Below are 26,434 nucleotides of genomic sequence, written 5' to 3' on the forward strand. Positions count from 1 at the left end.
CCTGGAACTCAGCACTCCAAGTTGCTGAGGACGTGGGGCAAGCAAGGGCCCCAGGAACCCAAAATGTGAGCCGTTTCACTTGCCCCTCCTTCCGTCTTAGGGGCATCAATCACTGCTTCCCTCTCCAGCAGTACCCAGCAGTCCCTGTCAGGGTCCAGGCAGGGCCAGGCCTCCACCCCTCGATGACCTGATGTGTGCCCTTGGAGGGGCGTCTTCCTGGGACCGGACTTCAGGCCATTATCCCTGACACTGGTGGCGTGTGAATGACTAAACTGGCCAAAAATAAAAGCCCCCATAAATCTCCTATTTTCCTATAAGCTGTCGGGTACACAGAGTGTGCTGGGATTATTGATAGAAAACTTTATGGATGGGCTGCATCTTAAAATCAAAATACATTACCCAAAATCAATGTTGCCGTACATGGTACAGGGAGGACAAGAAAGGTCATCCGAGACAAGAATACTGAAACCCAACTCCAAGAGGACCTGAGCATTAAAATAAATAAATTTTGAAAGTGAGTTCCAGGAAAAACACTCACTTAGGGCTGTAATTTAAGGGTGCTTTCACAAGAGGCTGGGCAGTCTTTTTAAATAGCGCTTTTTAAAGTGCCTCTGAGAGTCCAGTGAATCCATCCACAAAATGGTATTGACAAGCACCCCAGCTCACAGCCCTATAATAACAGCTCATGATAGGTAATGAGTGAGAGCCCCGAGGCTGGGCACACAGTAGCCAGGCCCTGGCAGAAGCAAGCCCCCCGGGCACAGCCAACTGGGCAGGGCAGCCAACCCATGGCCCCATCAACCACATTACAAGAGGATCTGCCTCCAGGTCTCTGTGCACAGCGACCCCACAGGCATTTTATAGCTGTGGATGGAGGGAGGGGAAAACCGTGTTAGTTCCCATTGATGATTAATCAGGACTAGAAACAAAATGATCATGAAATACTCTCAAGTCCATAGCTTCACATAACCACGATTCACTGCAAACAGGTCATCTTTGTAGGAGCCCAAGAGATACCACAGTAGGTAGACCTGAATGGCTGTGTCCGCAGAGCTTAGTGTCCCTTTGGGAGAAGTGACACGCATGCTCCTCCCCAGCCACCTTCTTTAGAGTCTCCAACTGAGAGACCACATCCCACCAGGACTTAGTGAGAAGGAAATGGCTCCCCTGCAGGGAGTGGGGAGCCAGGCTTGGCAGAGACTGGCAGGGAAGGAACCCAGTGCCCTCTGACTGGCAGGAGCTGCAGTCTGGTCTTAGCTCACTAATCCTCCAACTAGCCAAAGGGCTAAGTCGAAGAGACAAAATCCCTGCCCTGCTCACAGAAAACCCACAGCAAAAGGGAGGCAAAGTGCTCCTAGCAGGGTTCCCTGTCCGAATATTTGCTAGGCTCTAACTATGGGCAGGCCCAGCTGGGAGTTAAAGACACAGAGAAAGCCAGTGTGGTGGCTCACTCCTATAATCCCAGTGCTTTGGGAGGCAGAGGCAGGAGGACTGTTTGAGGCCAGGAGTTTGAGACCAGCCTGCACAACACAGCAAGACCCCATCTCTACAAAAAATATTAAAAATAAAACATTAGCTGGGTATGGTGGCGCATGCCTGTAGTCCTAGCTACTTAGAAGGCTGAGACAGGAAGATGGCTTGAGCCCAGGGGTTCAAGACCAACCTGGGCAACACAGCAAGACCTCACCTCTACAAAAAATTTTAAACAAAATTAGCCAGGTATAGTGGTGCATGGCTGCAGTCCTAGCTACTTGGAAGGCTGAGGCAGAAGGATCGCTTGAGCCCAGGCATTCAAGACCAGCCTGGGCAACAGCAAGACCCCATCTCTACAAAAAACATTTTAAAAATTAGCTGGGTATGGTGGCGCATGCCTGTAGTCTCAGCTACTTAGAAGGCTGAGACACGAAGATGGCTTGAGCCCAGGGGTTCAAGACCAACCTGGGCAACAGAGCAAGAACTCACCTCTACAAAAATTTTAAGCACAAAATTAGCCAAGTGTGATGGTGCATGCCTGTAGTCCTAGCTACTTGGAAGGCTGAGGCAGAAGGATCGCTTGAGCCCAGGGGTTCAAGACCAGCCTAGGCAACATAGCAACACCCCATCTCTACAAAAAAAATATATATATATTAGCAAGGCATGGTGGGCTAATCCTCCTGGTGTCAGCATGATAACTCTGGAGGCTGAGGTGCTTGAGCTCAGGACGTTGAGGTGCAGTGAGCTAAGATCGTGCCACTGCACTCCAGCCTGGACAACAGAAAAAGACCGTGTCAAAAAAAAAAAAAAAAAAAACCATAGTGAAGGTGGGTCAGCTGCTCTCATCACAGTCTACAAGGCAGGGCAGAAAACAGATAGACCAAGCTGAACAGACAGGAAAGAGACTACAAGTCTAGCTCAGGCTGCTCCTTGCTCCCATCAGTCAAGGGTAGGGCCTTGCTCTCCACACCAACTCGAGGCATCAGGACCAGGGGCTCACCTGGAGGAGGGAAGAGCTTAGTGTTTTGGTTAAGATCCAGGACCCCAGAGTAAGACAGGCTTTGGGTTGATGCGTCACTCAGCCACTTACTAACTATGTGACCTTGGGCAAGTTCCGTAAGCTTCTGAGCTTCAACCATAAAATGGAGTGAAATCACCATGTCTACCCCTGGAGTTGTGATTGAGGTAAAATGAGCTCATTCATTCATTCCACAAGTATTTACTGAGCTCCTACTCTGTGCCCGACCCTGTTGTAGGCGCTAGAGATACATCAGTGAACAAGGCAGGCACAGTCTTAGAGACCTGCAACAAGACACTCAATAAATAAGGATGTGGTCCCATGTGTTGGAAGATGGCTGGCGAAATGGAAAAAATAAAGGAAGCAGAGTGAGGGCCTGGGAGTGCTGGGTGGTGGGAGGAGAGGCAGTGTAGACTGCAGTGTTAAATATGGTGGCCCAGGTGGGCCTCATGGAGAAGGTGACTGCTTGACAAAAACCAGAGCACAACGGAGTTAGCCAAGCAAGTATCTGTGGGAGAAGCATGTCAACCAGATGGTGCGGCTGGTGCAAGGGCCCTGGGGTAGAAGCATGCCCAGTGTGCTGCATTGTAGGAAGGAGAACAGTGTGGCTAGGGGAGTGTGAGCTATGGAGAAGACAGAAAAGATGAGAAGATGAAGGAAAAGGGTGAGCAGGAAGCAGAAAGGCAGATGGTTTGACCTTGGCAGCCACTGCAAGGCCACTGGTGTTTATGCCAAGTGAAATGGGAGCCACTGTGGGGTTTTTCAGCAGTGGAAGAGGGATCTGATTTCCCTGAGAAGGATCTCTTTGTCATGTTGAGAACTGATGCCTAGAAAGTGTCTAGTACATGGAAAGCATGTGAAAACATGTATCTGTCGCTCTTAGAGTAATACCAACTCATGCAGTGGGCAAGAAACACCCAACCCCACAAGGCGGTACAGGGATAAATTACTTCCAGATAATTCCCTCTAGCTACAGGGATTCTCCCACGGGCATCGCTGGTCTCCAGCATTAGCCTCTGCTTGGATCTGGCATCAGGAAAGGAGACTGCTACCTCTCCAGGTGGGCCACTGCGCAGTGGGCTAGCTCTTTCTTCAGAACCCTGCTTGGAATCAGTCCCCAAATGAGCCTGCTTTCCTGGAACCCCGCTGTGGTCCTGAATCTGCATAGAGCGGTGCAAGTCTGCCCTCTCCCTTCAGAAGCTGAGGACAGCAATGGGGCCTGGCAGGGTCTTACATTCGGGGGTCCAAAGTGGTTTCTAAGGGCACATGGGATTTCCTAGGAAAAGCTCCTGCCATGACAGAAGGAGCTGGCAACTGCCTCTGTGGAGCCCCTAGAGAGGAACTTGAGGGAAAGGAGGAAAGTCCTATAGGACCCCCTTCTTCCCTTTGCCCCCAGCAGGAGACCTTAGAAAACAAGGGCTTGATAGATGAGCCACAGTGAGCCAGGGGGTGGGAGTGACTCCTGGGCCATAGACGAGGAAACTGAAAGGCAGGCACTGGAGGCAAGAAGGGCTGGCCCCGGGCACCCGCTGGCGAGGACAGCCTTGGAGAGGGCCTGCAGCTCCTCCCCTCTGAGCTGTGCTGCGCTGGCCGCCTGGACCAGGGTGGCTGCTGGAGAGTGTTTTCCCTCTGGGTTTCCTTCTCCTTGGCTCCCAGGGAATCCTCTGGCGGTGCCTCCGGGAGGCTGGTAGCCGGGGAAGCAGGCACGTGAATCCACCGGGCTGCCCCACCCCAACCTGAGGTCAGAGCTGAGGCGTAGGGGCCGGGGTAGGGGCAGAGGTGCCGAAACGCACTAGCTGGGGACTCCCGGGGGAAGGAGATAGGAGAGACCCAAGGCGAGCCTTAGGACTCGCCCCTATGACTATGACTACGCGCTGCGTCCGAACCACATGTCCACCCCGCATTTGCCTTCGGGGACCAGACCGCGCTCCCTCAGATGGCTGGGGAGGGAGCAGACTCCGGGTGAAGGCTGGGGGAGGTACCGGGATGCCGAGTACGCCAGAGCAGGCGGGGGATGGGTTCCGGCTTCCTGCCGCCTCGGCATCTCGCTTTGCACCGGGCAAAGAAGGGGCCACGACCGGCGAAGAGCGCGTGGAGACACAGGGACCCGCGATCCAGGGGCAGGAACCCCGCCCCCTCCCGGAAACCTCCCGGGCCCTGAGTCGTGCCCGGCGCTCCCCACCCCACCCCACCCCCGCCGCCCCTGCCGTCACTCACGGCCGCTGCGGGCTGGCTAGCGTGTGCGCTCTCCGCGCCGCAGGCACCTGCTCGCTGGGCGCTGTGCGCTCACTTCTCCCTCGCGCACTGCAGACTCCCGGCGCTGCCGCCGCCACCCAGCGTAGTCTCCGGCTGGGCACAGCGTTCCGCCCTTCTCGCGGCCCCGGGCGCCCACCCATCCGTCATGGCCCAGGCCTGGGCCAAACAGCGGGGCAGCTGGTTGCCCAAACTGGGGTAAGGAGTTGAGGGCTGGGAGCTGCAGAGAGGACCGAGGGACACACGGGGAGCAGGGATGAGCGGCCGTCTCGAGCCGTGCAGACTGGGAAGAAGCCAGGGAGAGTTTGGGTGGGAGGACTCCCAACCCAAGCGGGTGCGGGGCGGGGCTGTACTCCAACCAGAAAGACGGTGGTCCCTCCGAGCGACCCCCGAGGAGAGAGGGGGAGCGCTCTGGGGCGGGGGCGGGGCGGGCTGTGGCAGGAGAGGGGAGGGCGGGGGCGATGCAGCGGTGGAGGCGGCTTGGCGCCCAGCCACTGACCGCCCCCTCCCTTCCCCTCCCCTCCCCCTCTCCCCGCCTCTCTCCGGCTCCGGGTCCGCCACGCCGGACCCGCTCTCCCCGCGCTGCGCTGGGTCGGACGCCAGGTCTGCGCGCCGCGGCTGAGCGCCCACTCGCCCTGCGGAAAGAGCCGCGGAGGAACCGGCGGGGGCGGCTGCGGGAGCCGAAGGAGGTGGCAATCGGGAGCAGAACCAGAAGGAGACAGGGAGGCAGAAGCTCGCGGCTCCGTGGCACGCACTCCCTCGGCCAGGGATGGGTCCCGGCGCGGCCCAGCCCCTGCCCGGCCCGCCGGGCAGAGACTGAACCGCGGATCCCCACCGTCCTGTGGACGACCGGACAGAGAGAGGCACTGACCGATCGCCAGCAGCCTCCCGGTGGGACCGCGTCTCCTGCACACCCCGCGCAGCGCCCCCCGCCGGAGCCGCACCGGGCAAGCCGGCGAGGGAGCGGGGCTGATTGGCGGCCGCCGGCGGCCAGGGGAGGGGGCGCCGCGCGGGGCCATGGCAGGCTCGGAGGCGTCCTAGCCCGAGCCGGAGCCGATCCGAGCCCACGCGGCCGCCGCCTCTCCGCTCCCGGGCCCCCGCCGCCACCGCGCCCCCCGCGGGAGATGGAACAGCGGAACCGGCTCGGTGCCCTCGGATACCTGCCGCCTCTGCTGCTGCATGCCCTGCTGCTCTTCGTGGCCGACGGTGAGCGCGGGAACTTTGCTGCCGCTGTGGACTCGGGGGGGTCTTTGCTGGGGCCGCCACCGAGAAGAAGAAGAAAGAGAACGAACCGGGAAGCTTCGCGGTCTCCAGCAATCCCGCTGTGCAGCCTGGGCCCGGAGGGGTAGGGAGAGGCGAGCGGCGAAGGGTCGCCGCAGCAGCAGCGCCGCGCCCGAGTCGTTCCCAGTCCCGCCGGGGCCCCGGCTGCGGAAAGGATGCCTGCGGGGAGCGGGAGTAGGCGCGCCCCAGCCAGGCTCTGGCGGTGCGGCCAGGGGCGGGGGAGAAGCACGAGTCGCCCCTGCCGCCCCGCCCCATCCGGAGGGAAGCAGTAGGCAGCCGATGGCCGGTCCCTGCCTCGGCCCTGCAGCCGCTTCCCCGAACTTTGCTAGCCCCTCCGGCCGTGCGCCAGGGAGCAGCTGCGGGGTGGGGGGCACAAGGCCAGCCAGCCAGAGACCGACTGCCTCGCTTTAGGTTGCCCCAGGCCCCCGACCTACAGCTGGTCACGCCTCTCTCTCTCTCCCCACCCCCAGCTGCATTCACAGAAGTCCCCAAAGATGTGACAGTACGGGAGGGAGACGACATCGAAATGCCCTGCGCGTTCCGGGCCAGCGGAGCCACCTCGTATTCGCTGGAGATTCAGTGGTGGTACCTCAAGGAGCCACCCCGGGAGCTGCTGCACGAGCTGGCGCTCAGCGTGCCGGGCGCCCGGAGCAAGGTAACCCGCCGCCCACGCGGTACCGGCGCGCGCCCGGCTCGCGCCCGGGGCGGCGAAGGCTAACCCAGGGAGGGAAGCAGCGGGCTTCACTCGCGCAGGGCGCCGCCCTGTGGCGCAGCCCATCTTCCACCTTCGCATCCCAAAGCATCTTCAAAGTCAGCAGTGGTTACCCCCAAACCTGTCAATTATTTTGACAGCATCGCTGTTCCCACCACCTCCCAGAACTCCATTCACGCCCAGCCCCTAAAGAGCCACACCTCAGCCTGGTCGCTTGCTCGTGCTCGCTGGCTGCGGCCCTCTGATGGGTGCTGGGTAGTGAAGGAAGCCCCCTTGGTCCCATCAGGCTCTCCCCGCCCTCTGCCACTTTGAGGACCCCAGGGCTCCCACGGCTGCGTTCCAGAGGCCACCAGAAAACCGAGTACCGGAAAGCCGGCAGGACCTCCAGCCCTCAGGGGCACAGAGGGGCCACTTCTCTGTGGCCGAAAACAGGCCCACGCTGCCTGTCTGCCTCAAAACCCACACTCTCTTACACACTCTAGTGTGCTCGCGTGCACACACACCTACACACACACCTACACCTACACACACCTACATTCTCCCAGGGTCCCACCCAGAGTTACTCCCACTGAGCCTCCCGCTGGGTGCTGTCCAGACACAGCGGCCCTCCCTCCAGTTCTTCACGGCTCCCAGTGAGCTGGGGGAGGATTTTGAGCCACGCGGCAGGGCCTAAGGATGCCCAGAGGGAAGGAGAGGGGCTTTCCTTCCCACCCTGGTGTCCATCCAGTCTCCCCAGTTCAGCCGGCAGGTGTGCACCAGGGCAGCCACCCGTTGGTCAGGCACCATGCTAGCTCCAAAGCCCGCTTCCTCCTGGGAAACTCTTGGAAAGCCGGACGTCCTTTGTGCCCTCAACCCCCATCCCCCGGGCGGTTTCGGTCCTAGCCTGCCGGAGGAGGGTGCCCTTGCCTAAAGGCGGATCCGAGTTCCCCTAGCCAGAAGGCCGCGAGCCTCACGTCTCTCTCTCCCTCTTTGCATTTTAGGTAACAAATAAGGATGCAACTAAAATCAGCGTAAGTGTGGAGCCCAGCGCGGGCCGCGGGAGACCCCTTCTGGCCGCCTCGGGTCCCGCAGCTCCCTCCCTTAGCAAGCCGCGGCGGCCGCGCATGTGGGGCCGCGCAAGTAGGGCAGCGATCGCAGCCTTGCATCGGTGGCTGCTCGGCGTGTCCGGGCGCCATCTGTCGCCGGTTGCAGGGTCGGGTTCTCTTTTGTGTAAATCAAGGGTCCAAGGCTTGAGTCCCCTAATTCGGCTCGGCGCTGACCTGTAAAACTCCCCTTGGTCGGACTGCGCGCTTAGGGCCTCTCGCGCCTGCCAGCCTCCGCTCTGCGGGCATTCCTCCTAGCACCGGGAGCGCGCGGCTGCTCGCCCTCGCCGCGACCGTGGCGCCAGCTTCCCGCCCCCTCTGCCCCGCCCTGAGCATCTGCTCTGCGCCCTCCGCTGCAACCCTTTATCCTCCGCCTGGATTGCGGGTCTGGGTGCGGGGTGTTGCAGGCTTGCAGGGGACGGGGTAGGGGGTGGTTGTGCCAGGCTGCGAGGGGCCCGGGTCATGGGGTTGCTAACTCTGGGAGGAGATGCGCCCAAGCTTCCCACCTGGAGCGTAGAAAGGCCTGGAGATGACGAAGCCTCCTCGTGGGCTCGGTTCAGAGGTGAGGGCTCCCTGGGTGTTTGTTGAGAGCCGTAGAGCAGTACTTCCCGAAGTCCCCACCGGGGCGCAGGGGAGGAGCACTTCGCTGGGGGGCTTCTGGAGATCCCGCGGAAAGGCGGGTTGGTAGCAGGTGGCCAGGGAGCCAGGCAGCAGCCTCAGCGTTGCTTGCCTTCTTAAGAAAGCACAGTGTTAGCTGTAAAGGGCGGGGTCCGGTGACAGGGTGGCTTTCCTTAGGAAGCGATTCGGGCAGGCCCTCCGTGCTCCGGGAGGTGAGGAGGGCCGGCTGGGGCGGGACTGTCGGTTGGAGCGCGTCGGGGCGGGAAAGACGTGGGGAAGTTAAGGAACAAGGAATCCAGCCTGGGGTTTCCTGAAGGTGCAGGAGGGAGGAAGGAGAGGTGGACTCTGCCCTTCTGAAGCGCCAGCTACGGGAAGACAAGCAGTGTTGGTTTGTATGGGCGGGGCAGATGCAAGGTGGGCGTTTGGTTAACGTGATGGGGACGTGGGGACACAGTCCAAAGAGCTGGCTGCCTGGCGTCCACGCAGAGTTGGAAGCCCTATGCCACTGGGTAGACGCGGGTGAAAGGGAAGCCGGATCGTGATGGTGGGCAAACCAGGATCCGGGAAGTGTTGGGGTGCGCGGATGAGGGGGCGCGACGGCCAGGGTGGCCAGAAGAGTAGGTTTGGGAGCTGCCCAGCCCGGCCTCTAACCCTGCTCTCTTGCAGACCGTACGCGTCCAGGGCAATGACATCTCACACCGGCTTCGGCTGTCTGCCGTGCGGCTGCAGGACGAGGGCGTGTACGAGTGCCGCGTGTCGGACTACAGCGACGACGACACGCAGGAGCACAAGGCCCAGGCGATGCTGCGCGTGCTCTCGCGCTTCGCGCCGCCCAACATGCAGGCCGCCGAGGCCGTGTCCCACATCCAGAGCAGCGGCCCGCGTCGCCACGGCCCAGCCAGCGCCGCCAACGCCAACAACGCGGGCGCCGCGAGCCGTACCACCTCCGAGCCCGGCCGCGGCGACAAGAGCCCGCCGCCCGGGAGCCCTCCCGCCGCCATCGATCCCGCAGTCCCCGAGGCCGCGGCAGCCTCGGCGGCCCACACGCCCACCACCACAGTCGCGGCAGCTGCTGCTGCCTCGTCAGCGTCGCCGCCATCGGGACAGGCGGTCCTGCTGCGCCAGAGGCACGGCTCGGGTAAGGGATCGCGGAGAGGGGGCGCACGCGCGGGGATGGCGCAGGGCTAGGGCTGCGCCGGGACGCCCCGGGGGGCTCCGGACCCAGGACCCGCCCCCTGGGCGCATTTGCATATGCATACTCCTTCCTAGTTAGGTCGGGAGCGCCCCCCCCAGGGCCTTCTTCCCGCGGTTTCTCTGTCTTTACTCCTGGCCTCTGGAAGCATTTCTGATGTGCATTTATGAATGGAGGAGGGGGCTGCCCTGCCAGCTACCTCAGGGTACGCTGGAGGCTGTAGTGTGGGGAGGCGACCTCTTTTGGGTTTGGAGAACTGGACCCTGAGGGCTGAGCTCCGATGGTGGCAAGGGGCCAGTACTCAGCCACCACCGGTGGTGGAAATGAGCTATCCCCAGATGGGGGCACTGGCACCTGCTGGAGAGCGGGAGGCGGTTAAAACTTGAGTTGCGTTGGTTTCTATTTTGTGTGCTCGATTGAACAGACTTTGTCCAAGGGTGTGGAGGGGCCTGGCTGTGTAACCTACGCCCTCTTTGGCTAAATGCAGGATGGCCCTAGGCAGCAGCTCTGCACTCTGCTGTAAATCGCAGATCCTCTCCCTTTGGCTTTGGGGTGGGGGCAGTAAGGACTGAGCCCTAAGCCACTGTTAGGAAGGCACCCAGAGGGGAAGGCTTGCTTTCTTAGGGAGCTGAGAGGCTGGGAGAAGGGATTGGGGATGGGGGGCGGGATGTGAGAAGGCAGAAGGAGGAGAAAATGATGGCTTGACTACCCCCTGGTAGGCAGCTCTGGGGCGGTAGGAGCCATTGGCAGAGGCAGGGGTGGGGGCGGTGGGGGGCGGTTATGGAGGGTAGAAAGGCTTGCCCAGTGTGCCCCTCCTCCCAAGGCATCCCCCACTCTCTCCCCCTGCTCCAAGCTGGGCCTCAGAGCCCACCCCAGTGCCTGACTGTGAGCAGGTTGCTCCCTCCCTTGGCCCCTCTCCTCAGTCTTGTTTGATGCAGAGTCCCACAGGGAGCATCTCTCCTGGCCACATGGCCCTGGGAGCCTGGCTTTGGGTACAGGTGCATGTGAAACTTCCTAGATGTGATGGAGCACATTGTCACACCCCTACAGTGGTAGTTCTCAAAGGGTGGTCTTCCTGCAGGCTCCTGGACTACCTGCAGAATCCGCTGGGGCAGGTCTTCATGTCCTTAGTGTCACCATCTCATCCTGCCTCCCTGGCTAACTCTCAAGCCCTCCGACAGTTGAGCCTGCAGTCTGCCTGGCACATCAGTTCAGTTCTGTCTCTCATTTAGCTCTACCCACTGTAGCAGCCGCCTCAGTGCGTCTCAGGCTATTGGCTTGATCCGAAGGCCTCATCCGTCTTGGATGCCACACAGGAGCCCACAAGACTGTCCCTCAGGCTACTGGGGAAGGTAGGGACCTGCAAAGAGCCTCCACAGCCCAGCTGGGAACTTTCCACCCTCTGCACTAAGATATCACTAGGTGCTGTGACAAATAAACCCCAAAAGGCCAGTGGCTTGACACAATTCAAATTTAATATTCCTCGTTCATATCAAGTCCTGCCCTGGAGTGCCCCAGGGCATGTGGCGGCTCTGTTCCATGCAGTCATCCAGGGACCCAGGCTGAGAGTACCAGCCTCAGCAGGAGGCTTCCAAAGTCACTCTGGGCATGACATAGAGCCAGCAGACCAGTGAGGAGAGACAGAAGCAGCCCTTGTCAGCTCACTGCCCTAAGAGAATTAAGCCCTAATACTCTCAGGCATGCATTGTGTATGATGAATCAACTTGTTTCATATGCATTTAGGACGGCCCTAAGTATGTATCATTCTTGGGAGACTGAGAAAACAGCCACTCAAATCTTTCTGGCAGCGCTTAACTCTCTCAGAGAAAAGCTGGTTTAGAAAAATGGCAAGGCGTTTTTTAAGGGCTAGGTCTAGAAGTGGTAAATATTACTTCTACCCTCTTCCATCGGCCAGAACTCAGTCACATGGTCCAACATGGATGTAGGGCCCGCTGGGAAATGTAGTCCTTGGTGTGGCGGCTGCTTTCGGGCCTCATCTCTTCACAGTGCAAGGGGAGCGTGACTCTTCGAGGAGTTAGCCATCTCTGTTCAGCATACAGGCAGTGCTCAGGGAGAGTTCCTATTGACTTACAGAGCCATTGGCTTAACTGATGCTTGTTGGTGAAGAGAACATCCTTCTTCCCCCTCCCCTTGGGCCCCAGCAAGGAAATGTGTGCATTACAGGCTGGGACGTACCTCTAGGATATTCCTGGAGGATTTGAAAGGCAGAAGTTCCGATGTAGGTTGTGCTTCCACCACTTACTGGCTGTGTGATTTTAGGCAAGTGACTTACCATCTCTGAGTCATCTGTAAAATGAACAGGATAATCTCTCTGACCTCAGAGGGAGCTTGGTATGGAAATTGCTGCACATATATGTTCATTATTATCACCCTGGTCATTAGCTGCACTAGCTGGAGAGGAGAGGATGGGCAGATAAAGCTAAAAGGTTGGCAGTTGGAAGCCAGGCTATGGAGGGCCTTGAATGCCAAGTGGAACCAGCAGTTGGTTAAAGACCGGTCAAGACCATGTGAAATAGATCTTTGAGAGTGGACTTGGTTGTGCTCACAAAATGATAATGAGACCAAGGTCATGAGCGCACTCCTGCTTGAATCTCCCTCTTCCCTTGGCCTTCAGCCTGAGTCCCAGGCCCAGCCACAGATGACCTGACTGCCTGCCATAGCCAGTCTGATCTCCAGTCTCGGTGCTGGCCATGGAGGCTGAATGAGAGAGTGAAGATGCTCCAGGACATCTCATCCAGGGAAGGTGGGCCAGTCAGTGCCCTTCTTCCCAGAAGATATGGAGGTCCTCAGGTCAACTCAATGCTGATGGCACAGTGCCCAGTGCCATCCCAGCAGATAGGACCTTGGGCACCCACCAGCCACGGGGCCATATGTTAATGCCCATGTGGGTCACTCTGCCTTCCCTGGAGGGGCTGATGTCCACTGCCATCTAGAAAGCACAGCTTGCCTGGATCCCAGCGGGGCTGACAGCAGCACCCCTGGGATAGAAGTACAGTGGCCTCTGAGGTCTCTGTCACCCCCTAACCCTTGCCAGCTCCTGAACTGGCCAGGAACTGTGTAGACACATCTCAGAAAGAACCTCCAGTCTCTCTCCAAGTCTCCTTTGGGGTGCCCAGAAGGTGGGCCTTCAGCTGGGAGGTCAGAAAACCTGTGTCCCTCACTCTCCAGGTGAAGCTCTCTTGAGAGTGGTTCTGCTCCAGGCACTCTATGTCCCACTCTGGGCACGGAAAATGGATGGCAGACCTGTCATTCACAAACACATCCGAACAGCCTTGATGCCAAGGAGGGAACCATGCTCAGTCTTGTGTCCCACCTCACCCCGGTCACCCAAGGCCACCCAGGCTGTGTGCTGTCAATGTGAAGCCTGCAGACTGTGTTTTGGAGGATGGGCATTAGTAACCTTTCTGTAGGGCTGCATCACCAGCCAGTGCCCCGAGCTCAGCTGCTGGCACCAGGTACTGCTGAGCGCCCTGAGAGGCAGCAAGCCAGCTGCTTTGCTCGGAACCACAGCAGCCTGAGCTGCAGAGGGAGCTCGGGGCAGACGACCTTGGGCCTTGCCTCCCAGCCACTCAATTCTAGGCAGCTTGATGGGGAGGGGTCCAGAAAGGACCGCTGCCTCTTGGTTAATAGTCAAGAGTGTTTGCAGAGGATATCAACCAGGGTGCTGGCAGAGGCACATGGAACATTCAAACAGGGTCACTGGGGGGGATGGAAAGAGCGTATGTACCAAGGTGTGGACAGGGTTAGGGCAGCCAACAAAGGATTGATGCAGGTCCCCGGGGCTGGCATCAGTGGGAGCCATCAGCAGACCTAGCCTAAAGGTCTGGGGGCAGCTGGTAGCACCCAGAGAGTAGGAGGGGAGGCACACAGCCAACCCACAGTCACCCAGCAAGGATCTCACTCCTCCTGCCCTCCATTCCCTGTCTGGGCCTCCCTTTGGCCAAACCCTCCTGGAACCTGAAGGCAGGGGCACCCAGGTGGTGCAGGCTGTAGAGGTCAGCCCTCAGGGGCTCACAGCAGAGTGGAGAAGGGTGGGCTGAGGACCTGGGGGCACTGAAGAGGCTCATGGCCAGGCACAGTGGCTCACGCCTGTAATCACAGCACTTTGGAAGGCCGAGGCGGGTGGATCACCTGAGGACGGAAGTTTGAGACCAGCCTGGCCAACATGATGAGATCCTGTCTCTACTAAAAACACAAAAAATTAGCTGGGTGTGGTGGCAGGCACCTGTAATCCCAGATACTTGGGAGGCTGAGGCAGGATAATAACTTGAACCTGGGAGGCGGAGTTTGAAGTGAGCCGAGATCGCGCCATTGCACTCCAGCGTGGGCAACAAGACTGAAACTCTGTCTCAAAAAAAAAAAAAGAAAGAAAGAAAGAAAAGAAAAGAAAGAGGCTCAGGACACTGGCCATTTCAGATTGGCAACAGCAGGGGCGGTCCCAGTACATCTCCCCAAATAGTCCCCCATTAAGCGATCGTTCCTGGAAGGAAGTCAGAAAAAAAGTCCCTATTTTTTAAGTGAGCCACTTTGGTAATGCCACGAAGGAGAGAGGGGGGACTTCCTCCAGCCCTCATCCATTAGCTACCGCACAGCCAGGCAAGAAAGCCCTTCCCATGCCACATGTGTACCTAATACACCCAAATACATATTTGCACTAAAAGTTGATGTGCAAAAACTCATTCATTTCACGTCTCATTTGTCAAGAGACATTTTGGTATTTGTGCTTAAAAATAAACATGGACTGCATTAGCAGAGCAGAGCAGGCGCAGGAGGCTGGGCCCCGTCTTAGCTGTGTTCATAAATCTGGCTCCTAATTAATCTGAATGCTGACCCATTTTTCGTGAACACTTTGTTGCTGGTTGCCATTTCTAGAAAAGAGAGAGAGAGACCAAGCAGAGTATCTTCCAGACTAACACTTCTAAATGGAAAAGGCACCGCAGTAAAGTCTAGCGCGGCCTCAAAAGAATCCAGTTTGCAACTGAATGGCTGGTGTGTTGGCCAGAGGTTCCCCTCTGCAGGGACGTTGGGATCAGAGCAGTGGCGTGTGAACCTCTAATTAGCCTCAGGGCTCTGGCTCCAAGGAAAGGCACCATGGCCCCCACAGAGAGCCGGCTGGATGTGGCAAGCTGCTGCTGGGTGCCCACACGGAGAACTGGCTCTCAATATTTCAATTAATAATGAGAGAAAGACAGCCAAGGCCATGGGTATGATGGCTGTAGAGAGGCTGTGGCTGCTGGGAGCCGTCAAAGGGGAGCATCCGCGGATGTCGCCATGGCAACCGTAAACCGTGACCAAAGGGGGCCGTGGGCAAGGTGGAGACAGTCACTACATCTCGACCCATGCCCCGGTGGTGATAGAGCTGAAGGAATGGCACACACGTGACCCAGGAGAATCGCGATGCAGCAGAGTCACCAGCAGTACCAGCAGGCCCAGGACCTGTGGGCCCTGAGCAAGCCATTGAGGCAGCCACCTGGTTTTCCCATCTCCCCGGACCCACGAGGACCCAAAGGCCCTCACCTTAAATGAACAATCCACTCTTCCCCCAAGTTCCGATGTGACATGAGAATTATAATTAAGAAGAAAACAAATCTGGCAAGGGATGTCCCAGAGAAGAGAGGGCGAGGCTCTCTGAGCATCCTGAAAAAGAAAATTAAAGGATTTCATAAAGGAAATGGCTGAGCCTCACAGCTGGCAAGCAATGCCTGCTTCATCCCTAACAGCAGCAATCTTACGCCATTATCAGCGACATGGCATCCTCTCCCCCAGCAGCCAGTCACTGGGAGCCTTCTGGGCCCAGCCCCACGCTTGCCATAAGGGGGAACCAGAGATGGCAGTGTGGACCCAAACTTAAAGGAGCCAGGGCACCCAGGTAATTCCAGGACAAAGCAGTCTGTGCTGTGCCAGCACTAATCCAGCTGAGGCAATCAGGAGAGGCTTCCTGTAGGTGGTGTGTGACTTACAGCTTGAAAGAAGCACCTGAGGCTGAAGTCCTCCCAATTAGGTCAGACCTTGGAAAGCTTTCAGATGCCCCCTCTCTCCTTCCCAAGGTTGGAGAAGTCCACACCAAATGGAATGGCCTTTGTGTATCAGTCAGCTCACTGGGCAACCATCCTCTCAGCATCAGCAAGACCCTAAATTCAGGATAAAAACAGCTGCTCTTGGATTATAATAATGATAAATAATAACATTTGCCTTTTACTGAGCACTTACTGTGTGCCACGCTCTCCTCTCACCGGCTTTCCTCCTTCCCACAGTTCTCCCTAATGCCTCCTGCTTCAGTCCGTCCCCCAGAAGACAGAGCGCTCTCTCTGTGCTTATAGCCAGAGCCCACACTCTCTGCCCAGCTGGAGTGGTAGCCCCCAAGAAAAGAGCTGGAAGCCAGCCTTGTTAAATGTCACCGGGAACTAACCCCCCAACAAGGAGCTGCTCATTAAACACGCCAGGTGCATATCCTTAAAGCTCTGAATATTAAGGATTCCCCAAGCATCCGTGGGGATAAATGAGGTCAAGTGCTTTTGTAATATGATATTGATTAGTTCTGCTCTGTGTGGACAGAGCAAGGCCTTGGCTGTGGTCTAAACCCCTGAGCTTTCTGGAAGATGCCAGCATGGTTTTAAGACATTTTTGCAGCACAGGAGAAAAATAAAAGCATTATCTTTTTTATTCCCCCATGCTTAGCTGACTATCACCAGGCATCTCTTGTAAACTTGTATCCAGAGTGGTGAGAAGGCTTCACTTTGCCTTACATAAGGGCTGCAGGGAAGTTTGAGATGGGAAGTCAGCAGGCTCAGCCCCTGTAACTCTTGATTCCTGACTATTCCTGATGAAGAATGACACACCTCCTTCCCTGGGGTCGTGCTTCTAGGGAAATTAGCCTGCTTGTCAGTGGCTTTGGTGCTCTCAGGGAAGATGTGCTATAAATACCAAGATGGAGGATCCAGTCTGGCCTCCTGTGGGTTAGGGTGTAGCTGCTGTTAAACAGCCAGCGGTGGAGGTGGCTGCGGGGGCTGCTTGCAGACAGCAGCACCCTCGGTGACCGCAAAGTATGAGCATAGCCCAGGCCCCTTCTCCTGCCTGCATCCTCCACAGGACGGCCCTTGAGAGACAGACCTTGTGCAAAGCCTGTCCCTGCCAGCAATCCTGTTTCTGGAAGTTATTGGTTGTTCTGTTCTGTCGTTACTGCTCTCTGGGCTAAAATATCAAAGCTACTTTGGACAGGCTTCAGTTGGCTCTGGTTCTTGCAGTTCAAGAGGAACGTTGAGGGGTCCTGGCGTTGGCATGAAATAAGGAGCCAAAGTGGACATTTCGGAAGCTTTTCCCCACAACCACCCGCCCCCACACCCACCTACTCTCCCGCACCCACCTACTCTCCCGCACCCACCTACTCTCCCGCACCCATGGGCCCTGCTCCATGCAGCTCAGAAGTAACCAGCTTGCCAGAAGGGCCACTGAGAGGGACAGAGCACCCCCTAAAAGTCCCAGTTGAGCACCCAATGCCCGCTAGAGACCGAGGCCAGGAAAATTACCTAGGCAGATCAGTCCTCCCCACAGCTGCCCATGCTGGTGGGAGAACCAAAGCATCACCCGAGGGACACTGAACATAGTTCCGGAGGAAGTTACACTCACCACCACTTCCAACCATCGCATTCTCTCCTGACATTTCAAATGTTCCTCACTGTTCAGCATGCTGGCTCACAGGTAAGCCAGGATTTCAATGCCAACAAATTTGCCCCCTTTCTGGGCCTTTACAGGGCTCTGGCCCTGCAAAAGTCACAGCATGTGCTTCTCACTCCTGCCCTTCATACCCTAAGTATTATGCTTGTTTTCCGGATACATCCAACCATTTGATTGGAATCTTGAGTCCATCACTTCCCACTCTCTCTGTACGAGTTCCGTCATCTGTTATCATCAGCACGACACCGATTCCTATGCCAGAGAGTGGTTGGCAGGATCCGGGGGGATAATCCGTGGAAAGATGTTAGCTTAACACAGGGCCTGGCACCTAGAATACACTCAGTGGATGTTGGCTTTGGTAACCAGCGTTATTCACGGGAATGGTGTTAACCATCCAGGATCGCTTACTAAGCTGGACAGGGTGCTCCGATCTGAGACTTCCTTCATGAGACCGCCCTCCCTCCTGCAAATGCTGTGAGCATGATGGAGCTAATTGTGATTGTATTCATCCATTTTGCATTGCTATCAGGGAATACCTGAGTCTGGTCATTTATAGAGAAAAGAGGTTTATTTGGCTCACAGTTCTGCAGGCTGTGCAAGCAAGGCACCAGCATCTACTTGGCTTCTGGTGAGGCTTCAAGGAGCTTTAACTCAAGGCAGGGGAGTAGACATGTCACATGGTGAGAGAGGAAGCAAGAGAGAGAGGGAGGATGTGCCAGGCTCTTTAAACAACCAGCTGTCATGTGAAGTAACAGAGTAGGAACTCACCCATTACCTCATTACCATGAGGAGGGCACCAGGCCATTCGTGGGGGATCCACTCCCATGACCCAGTTACCTCCCACCGGGACCCACCTCCAACACTGGGGATCACATTTCAACATAAGGTTGGAGGGGATGAACATCCAAACCATCTCAGTGATGGGGCTGATGGAGCTCAGAAACAGAAAGGGCCATCAGATTGCAAATGGCTCGGAGAGTTGCTGTTTTTGTAAGTTCTCTGGCTGCACCATTTCAAGGGGGGAAGGTAGAAAGATGGGGATGGTGCCACATCCCCATACTAGTCTGGTTGGGGCTGTTTGCCATAAGTCACGAGCTCCTTGGTGAACAAGGACAGCTTCATCATGGTTTCGTGTGGTCCATCAGCAAATTAAACCCCCAGGTTTGCCCACGTGCCGAGTCCTGGCTGTGCTAACAGGGCTCCTGGGGAAAGCTGCTCCATGTCATGCCTGGTCGTGCTTCTTTGTCATATAGGCTGCTGCCAGTGGCGCGGGCACTGTGATGTGAGGGGGTAGGGCCTTTCGGGTGGCAAGGAGAAGCTCAGAGGAGAGGCTGGTGTTTGCAGCACTGGACAGCTGTGTCTCCAGGGGAGAAGTGGGGAGAAGGTAGAAAGCTCTCTCACCATGTCATATAGCCAGAGAGCCTCCTGGGGTAGGTCTAGACTGAGAGGAGGTGCCCGAAGTCCCCATCACTGGGGCCTTTACAGAGATAGAGTGAGAGAGAGAGTGAGAGCCACCTATGTCAGGGAGTGCCCCACAGGGATGGGCCTTTTGGGGACTCACGCCACCGTTACAGGCTCAGGACATGTGCTGGTTCTTCCACTTGCGTTCCTGCATTTTGCTTTTCATGTTCGCATCCACCCCAGCTTCCCTTTCCGTGGCTCACTGTGCCCAGAGATTGCTAATAAAGGTGCCACTTGGCACCGAGGCTAGTGAGAAGAATGCAGGACAGAGATACCACCTCTGGGATGTGCTGGGAGTGTAAGCAGGCTGCCGGCCAGGCCAGGAAGCCAGGGCCCCTCCTGCCTGTCTCCACCCCTCACGCCCATGTGAGCCTGCCTCCCTCCCAGCACAGACAGCCCACTGCAGACTCCTGCTGGAGGCCCACCCACCTGTAATCGTATAGCTCTAGAGACAGAGAGCCTTCCCTCTGCTGACCCTGGCCTGCTGTCCATCAGCTGCCCTCAGGGAGGAAGGCATGGTTTTCTTTAAGGCAGGAAAGCCCAGCTGCAATGTCAGTCCCCTTAGAGTGACTTTTATTACAATTGATTCTCATACAAATGCCGCTTGGCCCAGAGGAAAGATCTTTAATAAACCCATGGAAGGGGGAGCTGACATCACATCAGGCTCAGTCCGAGTGGGGGGTGGGGATTCCTGGTCTGCTGTATCTGGTCTGGCCCAGGCCAAGGGGCAGGGAGCTACCCAGAGCATCAGGCAGACCTAGCCCCTGCCCCAGGTAGGAGCTCATGGTCTAGTTATGGTGGCCATGCAGGAGGATGAACCCAGGGCTCAGCTCAGGCACAAGAGGGGCTCAGAAATGGTGGGCTACCAGGATGGACTAGTAGTTGGGAAGAACTCAGAAAGGTGGGGCCAGGGTGGGCTGGTAGTTGGGAGAAGACTTCCTGATCCTGCAGCCAAAGGAGTTTCTTTCATTCTGAGCACCTAGATGTGCCTTGCTGCTGCCTCAGGGCTCCCAGCAGTTCTTTCCCTGTCCTGCAGTCAACACCTGGCTGAGTGCCCCATCCAGACTGATGCCCACAGACAGCAGGCCTGGTTCATTCTCACTGCTGTTTCCCCACTGTCCTATATTCATTGGACTTGGTACTAGTTCATTCATTCATTCAATCATTCATCCAGCAAATGTCCATGGAGCATTTTTTTATGTGCAGGAACTTTTCTAGTCACTGAGGGCATAATGTGATTAAGACTAATGAGGTCCTGAGAAAGTGACAGAGGAAGAGACAGATATTGATCAAATAGTCACATAGCAAGTGGAAATTAGCAGCCATGGCTGGTACTCTAAAGGAGAGGCCCATGGGCTATGGGAGCTAAAATAGGGAGATTTGACCCAGTCAGGGAAGGGTCACCAAGAAAGTGACATTTGAGCCATAATCAGGAAGACAGTTAAGAGTTGGCCAGGTAAAGAAAGAAGGTAGAGCTTTCCAGGAAGAGGGACTCACATGTGCAAAGGTCCTGCGGCAAGAGGGATCTGGGGAAATGCAAAGGCCTCACAGAAGCTTACTGTGGTGGGTGCAGAGAAAGCAAGATGGGGAAGCAAAGGGGAAATTAAGTCAAGGTTAGAGTTTACTGGTCAAACAGGGTCAAACTGTAAGGCCTTTTGAAGAGATCAGGAAGCTTTGACTTTATCCTAAGAGCAGTGGGATGGGGTTTGAGTGGCTAGGGCATGATGCCTTCAGAAATGGTCACTCTGGTTGCAATGTGGAGATTGGAGAGGTGGGATGAATTTGATAGATGGGGAAGACCACTTAGGAGGCAGTGATCCAGTCAAGAGATGATGGGGCTTGGAATCATTGGATGGATGGGTTGATGGATGTCTGAATGGGGTGATAAAAACAAGTAGCTGGTGGGTGAGTGAAGGGAAGGATGTGTGAATGGATGGGGGATGAATGGGAGGAAGAATGAATAGATGGGTGGATGATGGAAGAATGAATGGATGGGGAGAAGGAAGAATGAGTGGATGAGTGGATGAATTGGAGAATTAATAGATGGGTGGAAGGAAGGATGAATGGATGGGATAATGAATGGATGGAATAATAAATGGATGGGATAATAAATGGATGGGTGGACAGAAAATGAGTGGATGGGTAGATGGGTACATAGAAGGGAGAATAAATGGGTGGGTAGAAGGATGATAAGTTGATGGGTAGTTGGGTGGATGGGTAGAAGGAAGGATGAGTGAATAGGTAGATGGGTGGATGGTGGGAGAATTATTGGATGGGTGGAAGGAAGGATAAATGAATGGGTGAATGAGTGGGAGAATGAATGGATGGGTAGAAGGAGAATGAGTGGATGGGTAGATGGGTGGGCAGATGGGAGAATGAATGAATGGATACAAGGATGACGAGTGGACGGGTAGATGGGTGGGTGGATGGGAGAATGAATGGATGGATTCAAGGATGATGAGTGGATGGGTAGATGGGTTGATGGATGGGAGAATGAATGGGTAGGTAGAAGGATGGTGAGTAGATGGTAGATGGGTGAGTGGATGGGAGAACGAATGGATGGGTAGAAGGATGATGAGTAGATGGTAGATGGGTGAATGGATGGGAGAATGAATGGGTGGGCAGAAGGATTATAAATAGATGGGTAGATGGGTGGATGGACTGGAGAATGAGTGGATGGGTAGAAGAATGATAAGTAGATGGGTAGATGGGTGAATGGATGGGAGAATGAATGCATAGATACAAGGATGATGAGTGGATGGGTAGATGGGTGGATTGATGAGAGAATGAATAGGTGGGTAAGAAGAAGGATGAATTAATGTGTGAGTGGGTGGATGGATGGGAGAACGAATGGGTGGGTAAGAAGAAGGGTGAATCAATGTGTGAATGGGTGGATGGATGGGAGAATGAATGGATGGATAGAAGAATGATGCGTAGATGGGTAGATGGGTTGATGGTTGGGAGAATGAATGGGTGAGTAGAAGGAAGATGAGTGGATGGGTAGATAGGTAGATGGATGGGAGAATGAATGGGTGGGTGGAGGGATGATGAGTGGATGGATAGATGGGTGAATGGATGGGAGAATGAATGGATGGATGGATGGATTGATGGATGAGTAGATTGGGAATGAGTGGAAAAATAAATAGCTGACGCATAGGTGGAAAGAAGATATAAGTGGGTGGATGGGTGAATGGAGAGTAGAAAGTAGGAGAAATGGGTAAGTAGGTAAAACATGGATGGAAAGATGGGTAGATTTGGGATACAAGTTGAGGCTTGCAGGATGGGTGGGATTGGGATTGCAGGCATGCCTAAGGTTGGAGTTTCCAGCAACTGAATACTGCACACTCATGTCTTCCAGGAAGGAGGCCATAGGAAAAAAGTCTCCAAGTGGTGGTAGGTCCCAGAATTCCATGCCATTCCATGCTTCTGCCTGCAGTCCCTAGGCCACTGAACCTAGACAGAGGGGAAGGGCAGAGTGAGTGGACACAGCCAATCCCAGCCTGCTTCCGACTCCCCTAATCCCTCAGCCTTTAGGGACAGGAGCAGCGGACCTCCTCCCTCTGCTGGGCACTGGGTACTCTGGTGGATGCAGCCTGGCCCAGATTTGCTGATTCTTGTCCACGTACAAATTAATGTAGATATGTTTTTTCAGGCATTTAAGAAATCCCATCTCCAGGTGGGCAGATAAATAACTCTATTTACATTAAAGACTAATGTAACAAAAATACACCAGGCAATAATTCATAATGCATTCTATTCTACAGAGTCATATTTTAATGTGTGACATATCCCAGGCAGCTCCTCTGTGCTAATTTCATTTAATGAGCACATGTTATAGAATTTTCAGAGCACTATCCCTGGGCAATTAAAATATGTTAACCTTTTGGTTAAATTGTGTTTCTAAAGAAAAGTCCTCACTGTGAAACAGAAAGAAATATCCAGGTGTCACTGAGGTGGAACCCAAAGGCGGATTGTAATGGGAAAGGACTGCTGTTAGGTCCTGCATGTGCTGGCTGGAGGGACCTACAGCCTCCTCCCGGACCTCAGGCCATGCTGCACCATCCCTGCCCTTGCATGGCCAGGCCCATTTCCACTGTGCAGGACAAGGAGCTGAAGCCTGGACCCATACAGTGAGCAGCCTTCCTTGAGCAGTCATTAATTGACTACCCACTATTTGCCTGACCCAGGAGATCCAAGGTACACCCTGGCTCCAAGGTTGGGAAGATTGTAGCATGGAGGTGAGGTACCCCCAGACAACTGGGGTTTAAATAGGGCTAGTATAGGAGACTTCAAGGAGGGGCAGGCTCCTCTCTTTCAAAATATGGACAGGTCCCCCAGCTCTGCCATCTACATAATGGGCACACCAGTGCTCCAGCATTCCCAAGTCCCAGAGTTTCAGATCTGGAAGGGGCTCTTAGAGAGCCTAGTGTGAGTGATTCCCAAACTGTGCTCCTTAGAACCCCAGGAGCCCCACCCCAACTTCAACCAGAGCCATTCTGCTTCTAATGGTTTTACATATTGGGGTTCCATGAAGCCATTAGTTGAAAATAGGGTTCTACTGCTTTAAAAGATTTAAAAGCAGTTTATATAGTTCTCCTGTGTGTATATATATACCTATATATATATATATGCACATTATATTAAATATATATTTATGCACTTTATATTAAATATACAAATAGTTTTCATATATATGCTGCCTTCTAAGGGAAGAATTTGAAGTGGCTTATAAAACTGAATGTGCGGCCGGGCGCGGTGGCTCACGCCTGTAATCCCAGCATTTTGGGAGGCCGAGGCAGGCGGATCACGAGGTCAGGAGATCGAGACCATCCTGGCTAACACGGTGAAACCCCGTCTCTACTGAAAATATAAAAAATTAGCCGGGCTTGGTGGCGGGCACCTGTAATCCCAGCTACTTGGGAGGCTGAGGCAGGAGAATGGCGTGAACCCGGGAGGCGGAGCTTGCAGTGAGCAGAGATCGCGCCACTGCACTCCAGCCTGGGCGAAAGAGCGAGACTCTGTCTCAAAAAAAAAAAAAAAAAAAAAAAAAAAAAAACTGAATGTGCCATAATAGAATGAAAAGTTTTTAATGAGCAAATTGGAATAAAAGGAAAATGAAGGTGAATTTGTGAAATCATCTTGAGAAAAAGTTAGACAAAGACATGTGTACTGGCAGTGTTGGGAAGCTGGAAGGTGAGGTCAAGGTCACTCTTGCAGCCCTGGGCTCCCCAGAGGGAACTCGAGACAGGCCTCTCAGCCCCAGCTTGTATCTGAAGGTTAAAAATGCGAGGCCACCTTTGAAGGACCTGGCCCATGTCTGGTGCATTATGGATGGTTAGACCAGCTGGGATGTCTAAGAAAGACTTTCATTCATGCATTCAACAAACATTTTGTGAGCCTGTCAGGGTTCCGGCACCGTGCTGGGTAATGAGGACATATGCAGCTGAGACAGCCATGGTCTCCACTCTCTCAGGCACACCCGCTAGCAGAGAAGACAGGGGTCAGACAGTAACACACTACGGCCATCCACATACAGCCCCGAAGAAATGGAACTTGCCTTGGAGCCTGTAGGACAAAGGGAGCCTCCAGACTGGGTCAGCGAGGGCCCAATGTCTGAAGGAGACCCATGGTCTGAGGAGGACGGAAATGAGTGAATGGGAGGTCTCCGGGGGTCGGCAGGGTGGATTCATGATGGCACTGGGAGGCAGGCAGGGGTGCGGGGAGAGAGGTAGCCAGGCGAGAAGAGTTAGGTCTTCAGCCTGAGACAGAGACTCCTGGGAACTTGGGGAGCAGGAGGAAATTGTGCTTTGCATGTGAAAAGAGTACTCTGGGTCGGGCACGGTGGCTCACACCTGCAATCCCAGCACTTTGGGAGGCCGAGGCGGTTAGATCACCTGAGGTCAGGAGTTTGAGACCAGCCTGGCCAACATGGTGAAACCCCATCTCTACTAAAAATACAAAAATTAGCTGGGCGTGCTGGCACATGCCTGTAACCCCAGCTACTCAGGAGGCTGAGGCAGGAGAATGACTTGAACCTGGGAGGTGGAGGTTGCAGTGAGCCAAAATCATGCCATTGCACGCCAGCCTGGGCGACAAGAGTGAAACTCCATCTCAAAAAAAGAGAAGAAAAGAGCACTCTGTTTCTGCAAAGGACATGGTTTGGTTCTTTTTTATGGCTGCATAGTATTCCATGGTATGTATGCATCACATTTTCTTTATCCAGCCCACCGTTGATGGGCATCTGGGTTGGTTCCATGTGTTTGCTGTTGTGAGTCATGAGTGCTATGATGAACATACAGGTGCAGGTGTCTTTTTGGTAGAACCAACCTGCACATGTACCCCCTGATTCTAAAATAAAAGTTGAAAAAAGAAAGAAAAGAAAAGAAAAGAAAAACGGCACTCTGGGCAGCCACGTTAGAGTGCTGGGCTATCAGTGACTGGCTTGCGGGGGCTTGGTGGATGCAGGGAGGCCAGTCAGGAGCTGCTGCCCCCGCCCAGGTGAGAGCTGATGCAGTGAGGGGGAGGGTTGGAGTGCCAGGGCAGGGTGGGTGTGGGGTAATGGCAGGGGCAGGAAGTAGATAGATTCAGAGCTGTATTGGAGTCAACTTGTGGGGGCCTCTGAGATGGGCCAGAGAAGATGGGTGAGCTTGAAAGAGCCAGAGAGGAACAGGAAAGGAATCTAGCAAAGGGAACAGACTGAGCAAAGGCCTGAATTCAGGAGAGCCTGGGTGCATGCAGCCCCCAGCGCAAGAGCCCCATTTACCTGGAGCTCAAGACACTCAAAGGAGTGTGGAGACAGGCAAGGCGGCACTGTCCACTGGGTGAAAGGGCTTCCAGCTGGCTAAGGAACTTGGACTCATTCATAGGTACCAAGGAGTCACTGGAGATAACCTTCTACCACCTACCCACTGTGTGACCTTAGTCAAGTCACCCAACCTCTCTGGGCCTCACCTATGAACGGGAAAGTGGTTTCTACCTCCTAAGGCTGCTGAGAGAGATAAAGGGGAAAATTCTCTTGCAGGGGCCGAGTGCAGCTGCTGGCACTGAGAATTGTGTGCCTTTTTACAGCCCACAGGCTCAAAGGTTAGCAATCCAGATGGGGCAGGGGCCCCTCAGGTGAGGAATGGGCCCCACACTGAGGGAGGCAGCCTCGCCGTCCCCGCTGGGGAGCCCCCACCCCCACCCCGGTGCTCACTGCAGTCGGGCCGCCTGCGGCCCCCTCTGACAGCAGCTGCCTGACCACAGAGTAAAGGCCTGTTTGCCATTCACATTAAGTGACATCATTAAAGGGCCATTGGGGGCAAGATGTTATCTCAAAAGAGATGGAAAACTGGAGAGGAGGTGGCGGCAAAGTTGGCCACATTAAAAAGCCACCATGAATGTTAACATTCAGGGAAAAATCTCATCCCCCATTCTCCTTCCCTTGCAAGTAGCCAGGGGCCAGGGTCAGGCTGAGGCATTCATGGGGAAGGAGAGTTCCAGCTCTTTGGGCCCGAGAGGTGGTGTGTGTGGCAGTGGTTAGGTGTACACAGGGGCCAGACTGCCTGGGTGCAAGTCCCAGCCCTGCTGTTTATCTCAGTGTGGCCTTGGTTGGGCTGCCAGATTTAGCAAATAAAAATATAGGACCCCCCGTTAAATTTGAATTTCAG

At 55.2% G+C, this 26,434-nt stretch overlaps 1 protein-coding gene and 2 long non-coding RNA genes across 10 annotated transcripts in view, besides 3 other annotated features; 1 reads left to right on the forward strand and 2 right to left on the reverse strand.

The window, feature by feature from the left end:
- VSTM2B-DT (VSTM2B divergent transcript) overlaps positions 1-5,035 on the reverse strand; it is a 238,742-nt gene extending 233,707 nt beyond the window's left edge. Inside the window, exon 1 of the long non-coding RNA NR_040029.2 lies at positions 4,709-5,035. This is a non-coding gene — a long non-coding RNA (VSTM2B divergent transcript). The remainder of the gene's footprint in view (positions 1-4,708) is intronic.
- Positions 1-8,565, reverse strand: part of LOC124904683 (uncharacterized) — a 41,102-nt gene extending 32,537 nt beyond the window's left edge. Inside the window, exon 1 of the long non-coding RNA XR_007067215.1 lies at positions 8,326-8,565. This is a non-coding gene — a long non-coding RNA (uncharacterized LOC124904683). The remainder of the gene's footprint in view (positions 1-8,325) is intronic.
- VSTM2B (V-set and transmembrane domain containing 2B) overlaps positions 4,703-26,434 on the forward strand; it is a 39,134-nt gene continuing 17,402 nt past the window's right edge. Inside the window, exons 1-5 of one of the 8 annotated variants that reach the window (XM_011526902.3) lie at positions 4,703-4,942; positions 5,348-5,950; positions 6,496-6,680; positions 7,718-7,747; positions 9,104-9,575. In XM_011526902.3, coding sequence (XP_011525204.1) covers positions 5,869-5,950; positions 6,496-6,680; positions 7,718-7,747; positions 9,104-9,575 — 769 coding nt within the window. In that variant the 5' untranslated portion in view covers positions 4,703-4,942; positions 5,348-5,868. Of the gene's footprint in view, positions 4,943-5,278; positions 5,951-6,495; positions 6,681-7,717; positions 7,748-8,184; positions 8,382-8,753; positions 8,826-9,103; positions 9,576-26,434 lie in introns of those variants that run through there. The other 7 variants (XM_011526903.3, NM_001384641.1, NM_001146339.2 and 4 more) reach the window with 7 other exon arrangements.
- Positions 13,659-14,159: an enhancer, noted in NCBI's record as "H3K4me1 hESC enhancer chr19:30025281-30025781 (GRCh37/hg19 assembly coordinates)". NCBI's record gives its function as "activates a minimal SCP1, AML or CMV promoter by ChIP-STARR-seq in primed H9 embryonic stem cells {active_cell/tissue: H9 hESC(primed)}" and the evidence as "EXISTENCE:reporter gene assay evidence [ECO:0000049][PMID:30033119]".
- Positions 18,568-19,068: an enhancer, noted in NCBI's record as "H3K4me1 hESC enhancer chr19:30030190-30030690 (GRCh37/hg19 assembly coordinates)". NCBI's record gives its function as "activates a minimal SCP1, AML or CMV promoter by ChIP-STARR-seq in naive H9 embryonic stem cells {active_cell/tissue: H9 hESC(naive)}" and the evidence as "EXISTENCE:reporter gene assay evidence [ECO:0000049][PMID:30033119]".
- Positions 19,069-19,569: an enhancer, noted in NCBI's record as "H3K4me1 hESC enhancer chr19:30030691-30031191 (GRCh37/hg19 assembly coordinates)". NCBI's record gives its function as "activates a minimal SCP1, AML or CMV promoter by ChIP-STARR-seq in naive H9 embryonic stem cells {active_cell/tissue: H9 hESC(naive)}" and the evidence as "EXISTENCE:reporter gene assay evidence [ECO:0000049][PMID:30033119]".

Source organism: Homo sapiens, chromosome 19 (assembly GCF_000001405.40).
Source record: "Homo sapiens chromosome 19, GRCh38.p14 Primary Assembly".
Lineage (NCBI taxonomy): Eukaryota > Metazoa > Chordata > Mammalia > Primates > Hominidae > Homo > Homo sapiens.